Source organism: Homo sapiens, chromosome 7, assembly GCF_000001405.40.
Source record: "Homo sapiens chromosome 7, GRCh38.p14 Primary Assembly".
NCBI lineage: Eukaryota > Metazoa > Chordata > Mammalia > Primates > Hominidae > Homo > Homo sapiens.
The window spans coordinates 91,413,620-91,435,400 of record NC_000007.14 but is presented as its reverse complement, the minus strand read 5'-3'; the positions used below and the strand labels follow the sequence as shown (position 1 = coordinate 91,435,400).

The 21,781-nt window shown below is 38.1% G+C and overlaps 1 long non-coding RNA gene across 2 annotated transcripts in view, besides 1 other annotated feature; it reads right to left on the bottom strand.

The window, feature by feature from the left end:
• LINC02932 (long intergenic non-protein coding RNA 2932) overlaps window positions 1-21,781 on the bottom strand; it is a 204,101-nt gene that overhangs the window by 80,025 nt on the left and 102,295 nt on the right. The window lies entirely within an intron of this gene.
• Window positions 13,934-14,479: an enhancer, noted in NCBI's record as "OCT4-NANOG-H3K4me1 hESC enhancer chr7:91050237-91050782 (GRCh37/hg19 assembly coordinates)". NCBI's record gives its function as "activates a minimal SCP1, AML or CMV promoter by ChIP-STARR-seq in primed H9 embryonic stem cells {active_cell/tissue: H9 hESC(primed)}" and the evidence as "EXISTENCE:reporter gene assay evidence [ECO:0000049][PMID:30033119]".

The following is a 21,781-nucleotide window of genomic DNA, read 5'->3' as shown; positions in this document are numbered from 1 at the left end:
TTACTGCTTGATTTGGCAGCTCAAATTTCAATTTTGAGTCATTCAAATTGCCTTTGCTTTTGCTCACATTTGATTGATTTTGCAATAATGGTAAATACAAAAGTGGGTACACAAGGCATATCACATTACTAAATAACAAACAGATGATATTCAGAATATCTAATCTATAGTACTCTGTATTTCACTAGATCTAAAATATACTTGAAGACAGGCTAGATTTATCTTAAAAGTGTACAAATGTCAATTACGGACTCAATTACAGACCCATGAGGAAAAAATACATCCAGATTTCTAAAGTAGAGAATGCTGGGCTACCTCAGCTTCATGAGAAATGTGAAGCATTTCACGACTATGAGTCGTTTATTTCCTAACATAGAGTGGTACGTGCAGTAAGCCTGAATTACCGGGAATTCTGGGTCTCAGGGGAAGCTCAACCACACATAAAGAGAAATTGTGGTCCAGAGACACATGCCCTCAGCGCCCTAAGAAAAAATATCCAAAATGCTTTACTTCTTTAACTGTTTAAAGAATTGTGAAATATAACACATATGTAGAAAAAGTGATAAAAATCTAAAGATGTATTTAATAAGTGTCATCTGTGTGATTATGAACCAGATCAAGAAACCAATTATCAACACCCCAGAAGCTTCCAGGTGTTCCTTCTCTTCCCAATCCCCCTTTTTCCCTCAAAGGTTACCTCTTGCCTTTTATGGTTATCACCCCTTACCTTTTCTTATACTGTAATCACCTACTTATGTATTTCTAAACACTAGAATGTAGTTATGCTTAATTTTGAATTTTATATAAATTAAATAACACTGTATATATTTTTGTGTGTCTGGCTTCTATCACTTGATATCATGTAGTTGCATGTAGCTGAGGTTCCTTTATTTTCATAGCTGTGTGATATTCCATTATATGCTGTCCCACAACTTATTTATCCCTTCTGATCTTGATAGGAATGTAAATAGTGTCCACATTTTGGAAATAATGTTGCTATAGACATTCTTATACATATTTCCTGTGGCACCCATGCAAGAGACTACATACTTAGGAGTGGTATTGCTGGACCATGGGTTATACACAAATTTAATGTAACTAGGTAATGTCAAAGCAATTGCCCTGATTTTTACTACCACATGGACTGTATGAAGGTTGTCATTGCTTCACATCATCACCTACATTTGCTATTGTCAGACTTTTGGGTTTTGCCAATTTTATGGGAGTGTAGTGTTACAAGATGAACTTCTATTTTCTTTCTTAGGAATCCTATGTAATAATAGTTGAATTTAATTTTTATAAATAGAACAAGCCAATGGAAACATTAGGATACAGAGAAAAGATAGATATTTTATTGACATCAGAGTGAACATCACATTAAATAAGGCAGTGTGGCAATCAGTGTATTTCTTTCAACTGAACTCATTATTCCAACCCTATAATTTGGGGATAAAGCAAGAATAGAAACAGTATGCCTGATACCTTATAATTTGTGCCTATATTAGTAAATATAGTTAAATCGATTATGAAATAAATTAATGAATGGCCTGCCAAGAGAAGTGTTATATGCTATCTCATCATTTATGTGGATTTGTTTCCTAACCCTTCATTGTTTTCTGTTGATCTGTCTATTCCTTGGATAATTCCATACCGTTTTAACCACTAAAGAGTTAAAACGGTATGGAATTATCATTATATCTGTCTTGATATCTAACAGGGCATAACCTTGTCTTAGGTTCTGCAAAAATGATAGCTATTTCTGGACAATAATGCACTTTGATTCTTTTTAAAAACTTAGTGAGGTAGAAATTATACAGCCTTAAGACACAGATGTTGATCAGAGAATTTCACTTTCCCTTTGTACTTACCAAGCAGAATGCAGGTAATACCCATATTTTACCACCATGGCCTCCAACACTTTGCTGAATATGAGGATTTTCTGAGAATGACCTAGTCTGAGCCCTAGAGCTGGCATTACTCTCTCATGATGTGATGGACCACATAACACACCTGCAGACAAGTTTCTGCAGGCCCATGACTGGGCTCTTGAACTACGAGGAGTTTTTCTCATTCATGAACATTGTATATATCTTCATCTACTCAATTTTTGGAGAGACGTCGTCAAGATGACTGGCTAGAGGTGCCCAGCACTCACTTCCCCCACGAGGAAGGACCAAAACAGTGAGTAGATAATCACACCTTTAATAGATCATCTAAGGGAGAACACTGAAATTCAGCAAGGAAGTGATAAAGACCCTCTGAGACATGGAAACTCAAGATGGCAGCATAGAGTGAAAAGTGAAACAGCCAGCCAGAATGAATTAAGAGCCAAGAGGGACTCTTCATTGTAGGGGAAAAGGGAGTGAGAAATCCCCAGCAGTCCACATTCCCACCACAGATGCCTGCAATCTTAGCTAGAGGAGAGCCCTTCGGCCTTCACACTCCCTGAGCTCCGGGGAGTTACCTGGAGCCCACGTGGCTGTGTTTTTCTAGATAGGAAATCCACCTTGTGGCTGAGCGTGGTGGCTCACGCCTGTAATCCCAGCACTTTGGGAGGCCGAGGTGGGTGGATCACGAGGTCAGGAGATCGAGACCAACCTGGCTAACATGGTGAAACCCCGTTTCTACTAAAAATACAAAAAATTAGCCGGGCGTGGTGGCAGGCGCCTGTAGTCCCAGCTACTGGGGAAGTTGAAGCAGGAGAATGGCGTCAACGTGGGAGGCGGAGCTTGCAGTGAGCTGAGATCACGCCACTGCACTCCAGCCTGGGCGACAGAGCGAGACTCTGTCTAAAAAAAAAGAAAGAGAGAGAGAGAGAAAGAAAATCCACGTTGTGTTCCTCTGCCCCAGTACCCAGGGTGCTATAGCATGGGGCCATTTTGAGAACAGTTACCGCCAGACTACATCCTACCTTGGGACTCAATAGTCTCTGCATCTCCACATTCCTGGGGTCCTGCTGACATCCCCCCATATCCTAAGAGCTCCATGCCCCAGCCACCACTACCACCAACAGTGACCTCGACCCCTCCACCCACACTGCCTGGGAACCCAAGGACTGTTCAATAATTGGTGCTGGGAAAACTAGATGTCCATATGCAGAAGAATAAAGCTAGAACCCTATCTTTCATGATATGCAAAAGTTAACTCAAAAGGGATTAAATACTTAAATGTAAGACCTAAAACTCAAAAACTGCTAGAAGAAAGCATAGGAGAAATGCTTCAGGACATTGATCAAGGCAAAGATTTTATGGTAAGACTACAAAAGCACAGGCAACAACAAAAAAAATAGACAAATGGGACTCTATCCAACTAAAAAGCTTCTGCACAGCAAAGAAAACAATCCACAAAGTGAAGAGACAACCTGCTGAATGGGAGAAAATATTTGCAAACTATTAATTTGACAAAAGACTAGTATCAAAAATATACAAGGAACTCAAATAACTCAACAGCAAAAAAATACCACACACAAATTATACGATTTGAAAATGGGCAAAGGCTCTGAATAGATATTTCTCAAAAAAAGACATACAAATAGCCAACAAGTATATGAAAAAATGCTCAGCATTACTAATCATCATGAAAATGCAAGTCAAAACCACAATAAGATATTATTGCACCACTGTTGGCTGTTCACCCCAATAGAATGGCTATTATTAAAAGGATTTAAAAAATAAATACCAGGAAGAAGAAATGGGAACTCTTACACTCTTTTGATGGGAATGCAAATCAGTACAGCTATTATGGAAAACAGTATGAAGCTCTCTCAAAAAAATCTAAAACTAGGACTACCATATGATATAACAATCCTATTAACTGGATATTGGTCCAAAGGTAAGGAAATCAGTATATCAAAGATATATTAGTACTTCCATGTTTTTTGCAGCACTATTCACAATAGCCAAGATATGGAATAAATCTAAATGTTCATTAATATTTGGTATATTATACACAGTGGAATACTATTCACCCATAAAAAAGAATGAAATCCTGTCATTCACAGCAACATGCATGACCCTGGGGGACATTATGTTAAGTGAAATAAATCAGGCATGGAAAGATAAATACTGCACATTCTCATATATGGGAACTAAAAAAAAGAGCTCTTAGAAGTAGAGAGTAGAATTATAGTTATTAGAGTGTGGGAAGGTCAGGGGAATGGAAGAAAGGGATAGGTTGGTTCACAAATGCAAAATTACAGCTAGAGAGGAGGAATAAGTTCTATTGCTCTATAGCACTGTAGGGTAGATAGTTAACAATAATTTATTGTACATGTTAAAAAAGCTAGAAGAGAGCATTTTGAATGTTCCCAACACAGAGAAATTATTTATGTTCAAGGTGAGGATACACTAATTAATACCTGATTTGATTATTACACATTGTATATGTGTATTGAATTAACACTCTGTACCCCAGAAATATGTACAAGTATTATGTGTCAACTAAAAAGAAAAAATATTAATCTCAAAGAAAAAAATTCGGAAAACATTTTGCTTCTAGAGATATTTTTAAAAATTTTATAGGTATGTTCCTAGGTGTTTTGTACTTTTTCTGATATTGTAAACAAGATCCTCTCTTCTATTACACATTCAAATCATTATTTCTGCTGTATTGGAAAGTTATTGATCTTTATTACATGAATCTTATAGGAGGAAGTTAGTTGAAGAAAAATATATGTATAGAAAATTACATAAAATATACATGTATAGTTCAGTAAATTTTCATAAGCTCAACTTATCCCTTTAATCAGCACCCAGATCCAGAAAGAGAGGGTTCCCTTGTGTTGTCATGCTCCCTAAGAGTAACAGCTAGCTTGACTTTTAACACCACAGACTAATTTTGCCTGTTTTGAATTTAAATAAATTGGCTCATTCAATAAGAACTCTGTCGTGTCTGGATTCTTACATTCAATATGGTGTTCATAAGGTTTATTTATATTGTTGCAAGTAGTCGTAATGCTCACAGCTATATAGTATTCTCTTTCGTGAATTTACATAATTTGTCCATTTTACTCTTGATGGGTATTTGAGTAGTTTCCAGTGTGAGGCTATATCAAACAGTGCTGCTGTGAACCTTCTTGTATGTGAATATATGTATGCATTTTCTGTTGGGCATATATCAGGGATGGAATATCTGTGTAATTAGGTATGCTTTTGTTAAGTGTTAGTAGATACTGCCAGATTTTTAAAGTGGTGGAACCAATCTATATTCTCACCAGCAGTGTATGTGATTTTTTTAATTGCTCCAAATTCTTGCCAAAACTTGGTATTTTATCCGTTCTGGTGGGTATGTAGTAGAATCACATAGTAAGTATAATTTGAATTTCTCTGATTACTAATAAGTGTGAGCCTCTTTTCATCCATTTCTTGGCCATTTGGATTTCCACTTTTATAAAATTCCAGGTCAAGTCTCTTGTCCATATTTCTAAGTATCTGTCTTCTTATTATTTTGTAGGAGTTTGTACATGTGTGTTCATGTGTGTTTAAATTCTTGAAGAGTATTCTTTGTTGATCAGAAAATATGTTTCAAATATCTTCTCCCACTCCATCACTTCTCTTTTCATTCTGTATAGTATTTTCTGACATAAGTTTTTTTTATTTTTAATCTTTTGAGTAAAATTTATCAATATTTTCCTTTATGGCTATACATTTTTGGCAGTATTTAGTAACTCCTCCCGTACCTTAAAGTCACAAAGATATTTACTTATTGTAATTTTAAAATTCTATATTGTTTTGCCTTTTACATTTGGATTTATAATCCACCTGAAATTGATTTCTCTGTTTGACATAGGTTAGGAGTTCAATTTCATATCTGTGGTTACCCAACTGCCCAGCACAACTAATAGACTGTCCTTCCTCGTTATTCTTCATGCCATCTTTCTCTTCTGTGCATTTACCACAAAAGAGAATTTGTGACACTTTAAATAAAGTGTCTGCTGATTCATGGTTCTGTTTCTAGGCTCTCCATTTTTTTCCCATTGGCCTATTTGTCTACTTTTGTCAATATCACTCTGTATTAATTACTGCATTCTTTGCTGTTAATTATATCTATTCATGTTGTGCTTCTTCAGGAGGCTACTATTGACTCATCACATTTCCATGCATATTTTAGAATAAACTTGCCAAGTTACATATACACACATACACATGCATATATACACCCAGAGTAAAATTTTGATTGAGATGATGACTCTTTACAATATTGATCTGAATCCATTAATGTGATATAACTATTTAGGTATTCTTTAATGCCTGTTAATAAAATTTCATAAATTTTTCCATTGAGCATATCTTTTGTTAGATTTATTCCAGGTGCTTGATATTCTTAATTTTTTTTTTTTAAAATAGAGATGGGGTCTTGCTCTGTCACCTAGGCTGGAGTGCAGTAGCATGATCATAGCTCACTGAAGCCTCAAACTCCTGGGCCTAAGCAATCCTCCCGCCTCAGCCTCTTGAGTCGCTAAGATTACAGGCATAAGCCACTGAACCTGGCTTGATGGTATTTTAGGCAGTATCTTTAAAATTGTTTATACTATGTGGCTGGGGTGTGTGTGTGTGTGTGTGTGTGTATGTGTGTGTGTATACACATACACGATTGATTTTTGGATGACGCTTCTATATTTTATAAATTTTCCAGTGTTTAATAACTTAATAATATTATTATAGACAGTACAAAGTACTTTTTTATTCTTTACTACTCTGGCTAGGACTTCACCACAATGTTAAATAGAATTAGTTAAAAAGGGACAGTTACCATTATCTGTTTCTGATTGCAAAGGAAAAGCTACAGTGTTGTACCAGTAATTATAATGATTTGCTATGGTTTTTATAATACCTATATCATCTATTTTTATCAAAGTTTTTATTTCTATTTCTGGTTTTCTGAGTTTTTAAAATAACGAATATTGGATTTTATCTTTTTGTGAAATTTATTCACTTCATCTAAAGTTTCAAATACAAGCAAAATTTTAATCACATCTTCCCATTTTATATTTAGTGTCTTCAGGATGTGATATAATATTCTTTTTTTCATTCCTTGTACTGGTCATTTGTTTCTTCTCTCTTTCTCTTTTTTTCTTGATTACTCTTGCCAGAGGTTTAATCAATTTGGTTAGTCTTTTCTAAGAACCAATGATTGGCTTGGTTTATTCTCTCTGTTATATGCTGCTTTCTATTTCATTGACTTCTGCTTTTATCTTTATTTTTTTCTTTCCTTCCATTTCTTTGAGTTTCCTTTGCTGATCCATTTTCTACCTTCTTGAGTTAGATTCTTCAGCTTTTCTTTAATAACTAGAAAAAATTTTCAGCCTTTTTTTTAGTTACTAAAAGTGTCATTTACCTATTTTTTAAGTTCATAAGTCAAGAACTTTCCTTTGTTTGTGTAAGGTGGTGGGAAGTTGGGGGGTATCCAGCCACCTTATGTTTTCTCTCCTCTTTCTGCAGTTACAGGATCTGTTTGGATAGTGTTTATTTTTGCATTAATGCTATTAGATACACATGATTGGTAATAATAGTTATAGCTAATATTTACTAAGCTTTCACTATAGGTCAGGCACTTAATGTATATTATTCCATTTAATCCTCACGACAAAACTATAAGGTAAACACAATTATTAACCTCTTTTACCGATGAGGAAACTAAGGTTTAGAGTGGTTTAATAAATTCTAATTTATTATTAGTAAATATGTAAATTTCCACAGCTAATAAGAGGTGGAGCCAGGGTTTGAACTTGAGCAGTCTGGTTCCAGAGGCTACATTCTTTTATTAAACTTATTCTGATTTGTCTCTGAGGAAAATCACCTTGCCAGCCTCTGAATATTCTAGTGTTGTCTTAAAGAAGATTTAACAATTTATGAGTATTTGTGTGATTCAATTTCAGTTGGGAAAGTAAGTTTTACAAGACCCACAGAGCAACAGATGGGCTCCCTGTAACTGTGAACTCAATTCTAAACAGGGCAAATAGAGCCCTATTTCTTTAAGACAAATGATGAAACATGGCCCACATTTCAAACACATGTGCCTGTTAATCTACCTAGATTGGTAGCACTGGTAGGAGCACTGATGGAAGACTGCTGGGCTTTTGTGGCACTTCCCTCCTCTCATTTCACAAAAAGTTGGGCAGCCATCTGCTTACTTTCCAATGATCCAGCATTTTCCCCACTGACATATGTGGGGAAAATGTAGTCAGTGACTCTGGGGAACCACTTTGCTGTCAAAGTTAAAAAGCTACTGTCCTAATCATGCCCTTCTATTGCACACCCCCCTTATGCTGTTTCAGTGCTTTGAACAAAAGCTGGTCTGAATCCAAACACTATTATGGACATCTTTACAAATCCAGCCCAATTTGGGCAGAAATTCTTCCAAATCTCTAGCAATCACAGGAAGGCAACATGCCTATGGTTCTTCAATTATTTTCAATAGGTTCTCTTTATCATTCAGGGCAGTATTAAAAAGTTGTCTTTTTAAAGTAACACTACCTTTGTTGAGGAAAGCTTTTCATTGAAGATACCACAGAGTTATTAAAGACTTCTGAGCAAATGATGGCTGATCAAATGAAGCAACCCATAAAAACCCTATAAATTCTTTTTAATCTGAAGTATTTCTCTCTTCAATTTTCAAACTATGCAATCTACATTGCCATTATGAGCAAATGTCATTAAGTCGGTTTCTACCTGCAGTACCATTGAAAATAGTCCATTGTACAGTTTCCACGGTGAAACCATTAGAATCCTATTCATGTCTAAACCTTACACTGTTTGTTACTTTCCCAAGCTACCAGACAGAGATACTCAAAACTCGTTTTTATGTGCATACACTCTATTACTCTCCTCTTCTCACAGATTTTTATTCTTTACTGTGATGCTTCTGTTTCTTCTTAGGGAAACAGTGCATAGAGCCCTAATGTGCATAGAGCCCTATTGTAGACTACCAGTGGCATAACTATGTCTTGATTTTTTTTTTCATAAAATGAAGAAAACCAAAACCAGCAACTTTTAGTAAATAATTTAAGTGTCTTTTCTGTCACCTTGTGATCACGGGTTTCCTCTTGACTAAATTTCTAGGCAAGAGGCAGATAAGCCAATCAAACACATGGTGACTATTAGAATCCACAAGCTGAATAATGATGAAGGGATGGGTCAGTCCTGTTGGTCTCATGAAGCAGGCAGATCCCAGAAAAATCATTAGGAGAACCACAAGGGAGAGATAATGGAATTGTATACTATCCTGAAACCATACATTCTGACCCAGGATTATACATAACATTTTCTATAAGCAGGCTGCCATGGTGATCTTTGGAGCAACATGTTGTTGGCATCTGGGTCATGGCAACAGACATCTTGATTCCAGGTTGGCCACATAAAACTGCAATACTTCATGGTGATTTTATTCTAAAGTTATTTATATGAGCAAGGCATTAGCCACATCCTCCCTAGAAGTACAAATATGAGGAGGACTGGCATTTGAAGTCCAACATAATGCTTGGCACATAGTGGAAATTTAACAAATATTTATTTAATTAATGAGTGACTAAATAAAGAAGTGAATAAATGAACTCAGTTCTCCCCAAAGATCTTCTAGTCCTCAGTTTGCTTTTGCAGGACAAACTGACCCCTTGTGTGGGGAAAAGAAGCTGGACTCAGAGTTCTGTAAGAGGTTTGTACTCAACCCCCAGCTGTTCAGTGCAAACCTAAAAACACCTAATTTCTTTTCTGGATAAATGGAATCAGAACTGACAGGATCCCCCAAGGCTGGTCTAATGGAGGGATTCTGCTCAGAACTGTGGGGTGTGGGAAGTCAGGGAAGTGGGTCAAGCTCAGAGTTGGGATCAGGGAGGCTGTGGGTTACATTTAGTGATCCAGAAAGAGGGACCTCACTAGGTGCCCCAAAGCTCGGAATCAGGAGATGTGGGAGACCAGGGAAAAGAGCCAGAAAAGACAGGGATCGGGGAACTATAGTCAAGAAAGGGGCAGAACTTGGCCAGTAAATACAGGCCATGTACGTTACCCAGATCAGCTGTCATCCGAGGCTCTTTGTAAGCCTGTTGCATTGCCATATGGGAGGGGCTTCTGGGCCTGGTAGGCTAAGAATAGGTGACCTGTCCTAGAACCCTGCACACTCAGCACCTAGTTTTTAGAACTCGAACGACAATCCTGGATCAGTGAACATGGGCTTCTTGGGCTTCTAGACAAGACAAAGAAAACAACTTGCCCTTCATTTCTTCATAAATGTGATGGGGTGAGTGTGAGGGGAGAGGAGAATGGAGTGAGCTATTGGTGTCTAAGGTGACTCAGTAATATCAAAGCAGGCTTACAATCCTAGATCTTTTCTGCCAATCTCCAAAAATAAACATTTTTTATTTCTCAAGAGGAAAAGACAACGAAAGTGACATATCCAGTGGTTTTCCTGAATTAATTCACTTCTTGGAAACTAATGACTCTATCTCTGATTAATTCTTCTAATTCTCTATGGCTTAATTTATTCTATGCAAATCTGCCCGTCAAGCTACTGTGAAATCCAACTATGATATAATATAATACAGAATTGTGGAAGGAGGAGGAAGATTACAGTTACTGTTTAGTAGAAGTGCTTATTACTCAGAAAATAATGATAAGGCTCAGAAGGAATCATTTCTGGAAAAAAGGTAAATCCCTCAAGGATTAGCAAGAAATAAGCTGTCCCTCCACCTTGTTGTGGAAAAAAATCCTGGCTTGGGACATTCGAGGACTCAACTGAAGGCATTCCTTCCTCTGTGTGCTTAGGATCTCCCTCTTCAGTCAACAGGGGCTGCTACCCAGCACTAACAGTATTCCAGCACCTCCAGGTGGCACCCTCCTCTGGGACCCCAGGATTCTGTAAGCCAGATGGTGGGACTACCTCAGCATCTGTTTACCAGATCTCTCTAGGGGAAAAGTAGCTTCCAATTTCCCTCATCTTTTGCCTTGCTCCTCATGGCACCAGAGCCCAGGGAGGAAATGAAACTGTCTAACCATGTTTGACTCTGAAATATTTTAGGCTTCTTCTTCAAATGTGTGAACAGAATGAGAAACTCCATTTGTTTATTTGATTAACGTCCCCAACTACATTGTGCCTTGTTAATTTCCCTGTTGATAATGCTACACTCGGCAGACACACCTTTTTTCTTTTCTTTCCCAGGTCTGTTCTTTTTCTTCTTTTCTTTGTGTAAAGGGTATGTACTGGCTTTGTGAAATCCCTGTAGCAAGTTGTGAATGATGTATGAAGTGAAAAGTCTTTACTCAGGGCACAGTAGGAATACAGAAAGTGCTGTGCATTCACTGCTGGGCTAAGTTTTTGACTGTGTGCTGTAGGCATAGATATCCTGTGTTCATTCTACACTGCCTCAAAATCTCAGGAGCTCTAGATCTGGTGGCAAGGGGCACAGTCCTGCAGAAAGGCAGAGAGATGAATTTATTGAGCTCCAAAAATCCTTCTTGGCACTGTGATTCTGCATTCACTACAGGTAGGGATTTTTTCCTGTAATGTTAACAAAGGGATGAGAATAGGAATTCAAAGTCTTAAGTTCAAGGTGCAGAAAATTAACCCACTCCCTGGCCTGTGATATGAGAAGGTGGAGGTAGGAGACAGGTGATTGTCAGCACTCTGCAGGGTAATCTCACTTAGAGAGGATATATCTTTTCACCCTGCTTGAGAGGGTATATTGTTATGTCCCAAGGAGCCAGGAGAAAAGACCTGTTCTTGTGATTTATGCAGTATTTTCCTTTCAAGGAACCCAGAACTCCCTAATAATCATCACAGTTTTTTTGTGGGCTGTGTGTCATATTGGTGCATGATCTAAAATTCTCTCATGTTTAAAAATTAGATGCCCAATTATCCAACAAATATTTTATACAATCAATTTGACATTATCCAGTGTCAAATTAGCTGATTTATGGATTAATTGTGGTTCAGGTGCAACTAGGATGTGAGACACACCCCCCATGGAAGAGGGGAGCTGAATAATTAGGCAGTGGCTAATTATTGTTCATTGTAACTTCTGTGGAAGATGAAGAGAGGGGGTGTGCAGAGCTGCTCTGGTTGCAAGGAGGCCATGGAAGCAAAGGGGACAGAACCCTCCCACTTAGCCTGATCCTCAGTTCTCCCAACAGGAAGCCCAGGAACTTCAAGCCTTGAATCCTCTCTTTTGGGTGTAGAAGAACTAAGCAACTATTTTCTAAGTGTTCAGCCATATTCAGGTGCGAGCACTTTACAGATCCTGACACTTTGTAACCACACTATGTCAATGCTGAGCAGTTGAGCAGTAACTCCAGTTTCATTTGTATCCTTGATTTTTATTTTCCATGACTACTGCCCTCCCACCCCATCCCCTAATCTCACTTACCTAGTCCAATGACAATTGACTATGTTACCTTAGTCTCAGAAGATGGGGCAATTATTATCCAAGCTAACAGGCCAACATTCAAATTGAATCACTGACTTCCTAAAATTACCAATTTCTTAGGCTCTTTGGGCATTTATAATTAGGTTTTAGACATTTCATTCAAAGTCAAACTATCTTTTATATACACGACTTAAAAAAGAACAAACCCATGGCCTGCCATAGTCTCAGTCTTCTACTTGAATTACCACATTCTACATTCTCATTCACAGCTTAGAATATAATGAACCTAGAGATGACCCATGAGTAAACAAGAGGCATTAAATAACAATAAATTAAAGATACTTTGGGAGGCTGAGATGGAGGATCATTTGAGGCTAGGAGTTTGAAACCAGCTTGGGCAACATAGCGAGACCCTGCTAAGAATATAAAAATATCATCTGGGCATGGTGGCTCGTGCCTGTAGTCCTAGCTAAAATCAGGAGGCTGAGGCAGGATTGCTTGAGCCCAGGAGTTTGAGGCTGCAGTGAGCTATGATCACACCCCTACACTCCAGGCTGGGTGACAGAGTGAGCCCCTGTCTCAAAAATTAATAAGTTAAAGAAATTATGGATCCATTCATCCTGAAGAGAAGAAAACAGAGACATAACCATGGTTTTTAAGCACAGGAAAAGAGATCCCAGACAGAATGGGGAGGAGTTGGGTTGAGACCAGTCTGGAAAAAAGGGAATAAGTTCAATGTACAACTGGAGGATTTGTGTAAGAATCTTTATAAATCATACAACCAACTCTTACTAGCCCTTGCTTTTGATATGAAGTGTTTTTATTTTATTGCTTAGATCAATTATTTCAGGAGACCAAAAGTAATAGAAAAGTGTAAACAGGAAAATACATTGCAGAATAGTAGAGGTGGAATCTTCTGAGATTGTAAAGGAATATTACTGTTCCTTTTAGGCTGCAGGTTAGAACAAAGAGCAAATATTACTTCTAACTCCAAACAGGTCAGCGAGTCTATTTTGGGAAGATATGTTCTCTCCATTCGTGCATGGTTTTCTGTGTAGGGGTAAAATGATATTATGGTATTTCAAGTTTGCATTTCATCCTTTTGATTATCTGCAGGCCATTTACCCATATCTCCTTTCCAAATGAAACCTGGTGCCTGCAGGCTTTTTCACATCTCTGGAGTTATTTCATATTTTCTCCTTGTATCTCTTTTGATGACTACTAAATGTTCATTTACTACTAGATGTTGCCTGGCAAATTCCCAACTATCAAATGTGTAAACCAAAACAGTAAGAAGGAAGAGGGGGTAATAGCAGAGCAGCCTACTACATACGTTTAAACAGTCTGTTTTATCTCTAAGGGGAAGAGCCAAACTTAGGCCTCCTGTATGCCTAGGAATATCTTCTCCTACTGAGAGTTTTCTCTTATTTTAAGTAGTCTGAAAATAACTGGTCCGGGAAATAAAATGAAACCTCTCTGTATCAAAAGCAAGAGCCTTGAGCAAAGGTGGTAACAAACCCTGAGACACTTAGGCTTGTCTGAACTCAAAATTCAGCAGGGTTCTATGACTCAGCATGTCATGAAAATCTGAATTTGATTTTTGCAAAATGCTTTGTGCTCTGGATCTATCAGGAGCATATTAAACTGTTAAAATAAAAAACTTTTTTTTTCTGTCATGGAGAAAATCAAATAGAATCCCCAATGCAAATTTACCACATTCTTCACCAATAGATCATTTCCAACAACTAGACAAATGCTGGAGGATGCAGATGAAAGCTTCCAAGCTTAGGAAGAGTCATGTCTTGATTGCAAGGCTAGGCCTGTCGGTACTGCAGTAGTGTGAGCTCAACAATGGCCCATTGAAATGTAAAATTCGATGAATTTCCAGCCTCCTTCTCAAACAGTCAATGCGGAAATCACGTCCTCCAAAGAACATTACTCGATGGGAGCATAATCTCTCCACACTTGAGCAATAAGAGATTGTGCCAGTCCATGACACGCGAGGTTGCAGAGCACTCCTCCAAGCATCGCACCAACCCTCAGTGATTTCTTACAGATATTTACTTTCACACATGGCATATAGAACATTAAAAGAGTTTTGAAAAATCCCTCAGTTTTCAACTTCTGAAGGATTATTAACTTCAAAGTCTGAAGAAATGTCGCCCTTCTATCTTTGGAAATGCCAGGAGCCTTTGCATATCCTTACTACAGGACCAAGCAACCCCCAGCGGAGAAGAACGATTACTGCCTCGGTGGCAAGAGGATGGCTTTTGATCTCTTAACATATTGGAAATTACTTAAAGGTAAGCCATCTGCTAGCTGAGGAACAAAAACAGATTACATCACACCCTGCTAGAAAGATTGTGTTAAATCCTGTATATCAAGGCTTTTAATAATTCTATATTAAGTCAGCTAATAGGATTAGGTACACATTTTCTTTAGGCTTATTTCCTCAACTATTAAAAAAAAAAACCTTTTTTTGTATGTTTGATGATCTGCAAAATTCAAGAGTATTCCACTGTGAATAAAAAGGGTTCTTTCAAGAGGAAGCATTTCTTTAGATCACCACTGCTCTCCAAAGAGATGTACAGCAGAAATGCCTTTCCAAGTAGTTTGTGGGAGAGGCAAGACAGGAGTTTCTATTACTGCTAATATGATATATTGCCTGGGTATTACAAACCTGCCTACTAGAGCTTCCTATCTTCATTGTTTTTCTTCAGCAGGTCAAGGATGGAATTCGGGCAGGTGGGGGATGAAAAGGATGTCTAACCTGATCCTTTTGGTAATAAGGATTAATGATAATCATGGTGATAGTCCACCACAAGGTTGGCATGGCACAAGTATTGGGATAATCAAAGAATAAGCCTTGATTAATGAGAGCTTAAAGCATCTGCAAGACTGGACAGTCCCAGCCTTGAGAAAGCTTGCATTCTAAAATTACCACAATACAAGAAATCTTACATTCTAAAATTACACTATGCCCAAACCAAACATACTGTCTGTGGTAAGCTTCAGGTCATGGGAATATTAGAATATATTCACTTCATGACAAGCAAAAATAAAGTTAATTATTTGTCCCCTTCTTTCATTAATTTGCCCCTTCTTTATTCTTTGCTACTTCTTACAATAATTGGTTTAGTGTTATTCTAAAATTTCAAATAATTAAATATACACATTACACAAATTAACTTCCACTTATTGCTTCTAAGTATTTTACAAGATGCTCATTTACTCTGTGTGCTATTCATCACTCTGGGATACTGAGAGTTGAATAAGGTTATAGTGGTATAGCAACAAATGTCTTTATCTCTCAATGGTCCTAGAAGTAGTTCTTTAAAAGGTTAAAAAGAAAAAGTCTCTGTTCTCCTGAGAGAGGGTAATCCTTATCTTGCTGACAATAGAGGGTTACAAATAACCCTTGAGAACCAAATAAAATGCAGGATTCATCATATTTAGAAACCAGCACAAAGTGTTGAGTCTTGAAGCCACTTGAGAACTATTTGTTGAATAGCATTTCTAAGAGATTATTAGCAATGGTTGCCATGATTTTGCCATAATTATTGAATGACACAGAATAAAATGAACTACATTTTGCTATGGCACAAATGAGAAAAGGAAACTGTAAAATCAGTAGCTTATATGTTTAGTTGTTTTATATTGTACCTTGGTGCAAATGGTTCAAGCTTTCTTTATGTGCTTTTTACAAACATAGGACAAGGAATTAATAATAAATCTCATACTAATTACCATACTTAGAGATAGTTTATTCATTAGCACTTCGAAAAGTTTGTCTCTAACCCTCACAGGGTTTTCGAGAGGTGGATATTATCACTCCCTGTTTACTGGTGAGAAAACTGAAATTCAAGGTGGTTAAAAGAAACTGCAGCAAGTGGAAGAGTGAAAATTCAAAGAAGGGTTTGATGCCAAAGTCCATGCTCTTTTTGCCACACCTGGCTGCCTTCAATTTGGAAGGGGCGAGGAGGTCTTGCTCTTCACTTGGTGACTTGGCTTACCTGGCAACTTGGCTTAGCTTTCTTTGTGTCAAATCTTTAAACGAATTGAGGAAACAGCGTCATTTCCTTTGAGATGCTCAGAATTCAGTCAAGGGATCTCACATTCTGCTCCTGCAGGCTAGTCCCTACCATGTTTCTCCAGGATGCTGGTGTTCTTTCCTTTCATTAGTTTGAGGCAGTCAAAACAAAATACTTGAAAGCCTTTTCCCAGGCCACAGAATTTCTCTTTCATTAGCCATCAACTTTAAGTTGTCAACCTAATATTTTTCTGTCATGTTTTAAAATACCCAAATGTTGATTAACTTATTTGCTTGCCATCTAAACCTAGTGGAGAACAACATAAATGTCCAAAGAAACAACAACTCAGCAGTGAGTCCTTTGTAGGAACATGGATGAAGCTGGAAACCATCATTCTCAGCAAACTATCGCAAGGACAAAAAACCAAACACTGCATGTTCTCACTCATAGGTGGGAATTGAACAATGAGAACACATGGACGCAGGAAGGGGGACATCACACACCGGAGCCTGTTGTGGGACAGGGGGAGGGGGGAGGGATAGCATTAGGAGATATACCTAATGTTAAATGACGAGTTAATGGGTGCAGCACACCAACATGGCACATGTATACATATGTAACAAACCTGCACGTTGTGTACATGTACCCTAGAACTTAAAGTATATATATAAAAAAAAGATCTTTACTGATCCCCTAAAAAAAAAAAAGAGAGAGAGAGAAAATCTCAGAAATGTGATGTGAAATATCTCATGCATTACTGACTATTGAAATTAGGGGACCTATATGTAATAATAGAATCATATTATCTGCTTGTTGATTTAGAATTAAGTAAGAGGAAATTAAATATGTAATAGTGCCCAAATAAATATTGTCAAATACATATGTTAGTATTTGTATTAAAGTAATGCTAACTGCTGTAGTAACTCCCAAAATTTCAGTGTCTTAACTTGATTTCTTCCTCATATAATTGTTCAATGTGGGATTCCAAGAAGGGTGGCCTTCCAAGTCGCCACTCAGCATCACAGGTTCTTTCTATGTATGGCTCTGATATCTTTAACATGTGGTTTTAGGGTCACTAGGCTCATCTGCATTAAGATGGAGACCAGGGAAGAAACATGGAGATAAGCTCCATGGAGAATGTCCATGGACCAGGGGAAGACATGGTGCCCATTATGTTCACTGACTTCCTACTGGCAAAAACTCAGTCATTTGTCCACATCCAACTGTAAGGGAGGTTCGGAAATGTGTTCTAATCATGTGCCCAGAAAGAAGAGGAGATAGGCTTGGTGATAAACTGCAGTTTCTGCCACGGTGTTTGTTCTATGACAGTCTATAAAGAGAACCTAGACTTCCAGGTGCTTTCAGCCAAGAATTACCTTGAGAATCAAAATGTTGATCTAGAAACTTTATTCAGGTTAAAATACTTGCCCTATCCCACCATCTGTTTTGGACTGACTGCTAAAAATTAGAGGAGTTACCATAAGCACAACGACATTCTGATTTGATGAGTACTACTACTATCAGAACTCCTTCTAGCTATGTCATTGAGAACTGTATTAACTTTTTCTTACTTTCCTCAACTCCAGCACCTGGCACAACTCTAGGACCTAGAACATACTCAACAAATGTATGTTCAATGAATGAGTGGCCTTCTAGGATTGACCGTGCATTTTTTCCATCAATTCATAAAGATTGTGGCCCACATATCACAGTGAATCAACTCTTATTTTTGTTGCTGTTATTGTTGATTCAGCCATGCTCTATGGCAATGACCTAAATCTTGTTTATTCACCACTCCAAGCATGCCTATTAACTCCACTCGGTAATATGTCTTCCATAACATGTAAGATTTTTACTGAAGTCTGCCCATGCTTATCTAGACTCCTGGAAGAGAATCAGCAGCCACGTTGTATAATGGACAAAACAGAGAGGAATGTAGGTTAACTTAATTATCTCAGCCTTTGTCTTAGGCAAGTTGCTTATTTCTTCTGAGCTTTCCTTATGTAGAAAGTGAGAATAATAACACTTACCTTGCAGTGTTGTAAGTACGGCAATTTTAAAGACCCAGAATAAAGTAGGCACTGAATTAATGGTAGTCACTGTCTTCATAATTTATAATAATGATTGACTGTAATGTTAGCATTCATAATACAAATTATAAACATCACTCAGCTTTGTTTCCTATTAGATACGTTAAATCAGAAAGCCCTAATATCCAGAAGCAACACCATGACAGAATTGTAAGTAGAGCACAAGTTTTTTCAGCCTCCTGCTGTCAGCTGAGTCCCTATTGAGCAGATACATCCCTGGGGACAGATGACCATCCATCAGAGGCTATATCAGCTAATAGCTAGAGCTGTCACTTTCACCTCTATTTGCATTGGATTGAGTCAATCTGCCTTAAGCTTTCACAAGGGTAAACAGCCAGTAACAAATGAAGTTCTTATGACTTATAGCCCCACGGAGACTTATTACAGGATCTTATCTATTTCAATACCTGCCAGCAGGTGTGGATTATTAAAATGTGTGTACTGAGAATTTACTGCTTTCTTGAATTAGCAACCTTGACTCAGAAATGACATATTTTTATGTCAAAATAGCAGAAACCTTTCTTTTCTCTCTTCACTGATGCATAACATTCTAAAAGACAGGAATGGCCTTCAGCTAATACAGATCTATTTCCATTTGGCTTCGGTCACCATTTAATTACTGTTGACTTCTTTAACCTTTCTCACTTCCTTTCTGGATTATATTTCTTTCTACTCTATTGCCATTTAGTTTATTTGGTGACATAATCAAACTTGAAATTATATAACAAGGTTTTGCATTTTTCTTCTTTCATGCCGCTTATTGTGTTGAATTTATTTTAAAACAAATTATTTTCTGAAACAGAAAATATTTTAATGAGTTGACTTTGTACTTTATCTTCGTATTTACTTCTTAAATCCTGATTTTTAAAAAGGAGGATACTCCAATTTCCTCTATCACCCATTTCAGAATGATAGAACCCTAAGTAGGTTCCTGGAAAATAATCTATTGTTCCCTTCAACTTTCCTACAGTACTTACCTGTTAAACAATACAGTGTGTACTAAATTAAAAAGAAAAACAAAATCTTGAAGTGAACACCAACCACTAATAATGCAAAGGGGATTATGTCAGAGTGACATAAGAGGAGGAATTGTCTTCTTTCTGAGCATTCATTTTTATTATTGCTGACCTAAGCCATGAGATATAGAGGACAGAGACTGAGCTTTGGAGTTGGACATTTCCTGATTCAAAACCTGGCTGTACTACACATAAACTGGTGGTCCTCTGGAAAGTCCTTGGACTTAGCTGATCCTGTCTCCTTATCTGTAAAACAGAAATAATTATTTTACCTCTCAAGATTGATGTGAAGGTTAAGTGAAATGAAATATGTAAAATGTCTGGTATATGTGTTCTCTAAGTGCAACAGGTACGTTTGAACCTATGAGTGTTACAGCAGCCTGAGCCTGGGTTTTCCTGAAAGTGGAGCCCAAGGCAAAGGATTTTGTATTACTATTTTGTTAGGGGGTGCAATTTCAGGGAGATGCAGGGAGGGACAACCAGAATGAAGCAGGGAAGGAGGAGGAGCCGATATGAGTATGTGTAATCAAAAGAGCTGCCATTAAGTGCATCTCATTGATACGGGACATACTCCTGCCTGTCTGCATTGTATAGCAGCAGCTCTAGCTCCCCATATTAGTCAGGGTTGATTACCATTGCCAATATAGTAATTCATTTCTTTGCCTTCTGGTCCACTAGCGCAAGGAGCCTAAATGTGGTAGTTGAAGCTTCGAATTTGGTGGAGCCCTTTCTGTGCACCTGGTTTCGGAAAAGACTCTTCCCCTTCTCAGCCCTGCAGTGGAAACCAGGACCTTAGAGTGTGGGGACAGAAAACACAAATTTTGCAAATGAGTTGTTGTTTCTACAACGTGAATGTAAGCTGTTTTGATCCTTCCTCCTTATGAGCATTGAGAAAGACACATCTGCCAGATCATCACATACCTAGTACCAGAGGCCTGCTAATCCACTTGCAGTAAAGATAGCACATCTGGCACAGCAGATACCATTGGCGTTAACATCTGGTTATGTTTATGATAATTCACCATCATCCACCATGAGCTCTCAGGATTTTCCAGGGCTAGGTATGCCCATAAATGAGCATGCAGAAAAAATTGAACCAGGGATATGATGGAAACCATCACCCTTGTATTCTTCAAGTGTTTGATTGTGTCACTAATCTCTGCAATTCCTCCTGGCATGCAGTGTTGCTTCTGATATATGGTCTTAGATGGGGATAGAGGCAGTTTCAGGGACTTCTACTTGGCCCTTCCCTCATAATATCCCTTATACTACAAATCTGGGAACAAGTGTGAGGGCTCTATCACCTGATAAATATATTTAACTCAGTTACACACACTCAGGATGTGGGCAATAACCTCAGGACAGATCTGTGAACACTAACACACTGTGAAGCAAACTTGGCCCAAAATTCCGTTCTCATTGTGTCCAGATGGGCTCCCACTCTAACCAGAGATCTTTGATAGTATTTCAGTTCATTTGGTATCATTCAGCCCCAACTCCTTACCTAACAGCCTTTGAAAAGTCTGGGTTTTCCCCTTCCAACAGTGCAAAGTTACCCTGCTGCAAGTACATTTGGGGAAAGAATCAAAGGAAGATGTACTATATATACTGGTGGTGGCATGGAACCGTCCTTCCTCAAGGGATCCTGGCTTCCACATCAATCACTGAAATCTGGATCTATGAGCTGATTTAGGTCTGGAAAAAGGGTGATGGGAAGGTGATTTTCTACCATAGCAGTTGATGTAAACATTCTCTTTACCAAGTCTTAAGACACATCTCAACAGACAATTAGGATGAGCTCCAGGGGATCTTTATAGGGCATCAAATTCTGAGCATGGCTAGGTGCCTCCATGTTAGTAAACTTTCCTCTGTCCAGCCTCATATTCTGATTTCCTCACCCCAGTCCAAGACCCTCCAGCTCCAGTTCCACGTATAAAGCCCTCTACTCTTACCAGATCATTTGAACTAGTTTCTGCAGTTCTTTTGGCAGGCAAGCTATTTCCTCCGGAAATGGTGCTTAGGCTAGGCTGAGATTTCTCCTTGGTCAACAGTCTAGAGGGAATGAGGAATACTGGAGGCAGATCTCAAAGAGACAATTATCTTATGAGGCACCTGCTTTAGAGGGGAGTCCTTGAACAGTCTCCAGGCAGGCAGCCACTGCTCTCCTCCAAGAAGGGCCCTAGGAGGAGGGTTTACAGGAATCTGGTAGTTCAAGATTACCAGCTGGTTCACCCAAATTTTCCCATCCACTCTTTTCTTATTGAGGTCCTGACTTTGATATAGGAGATC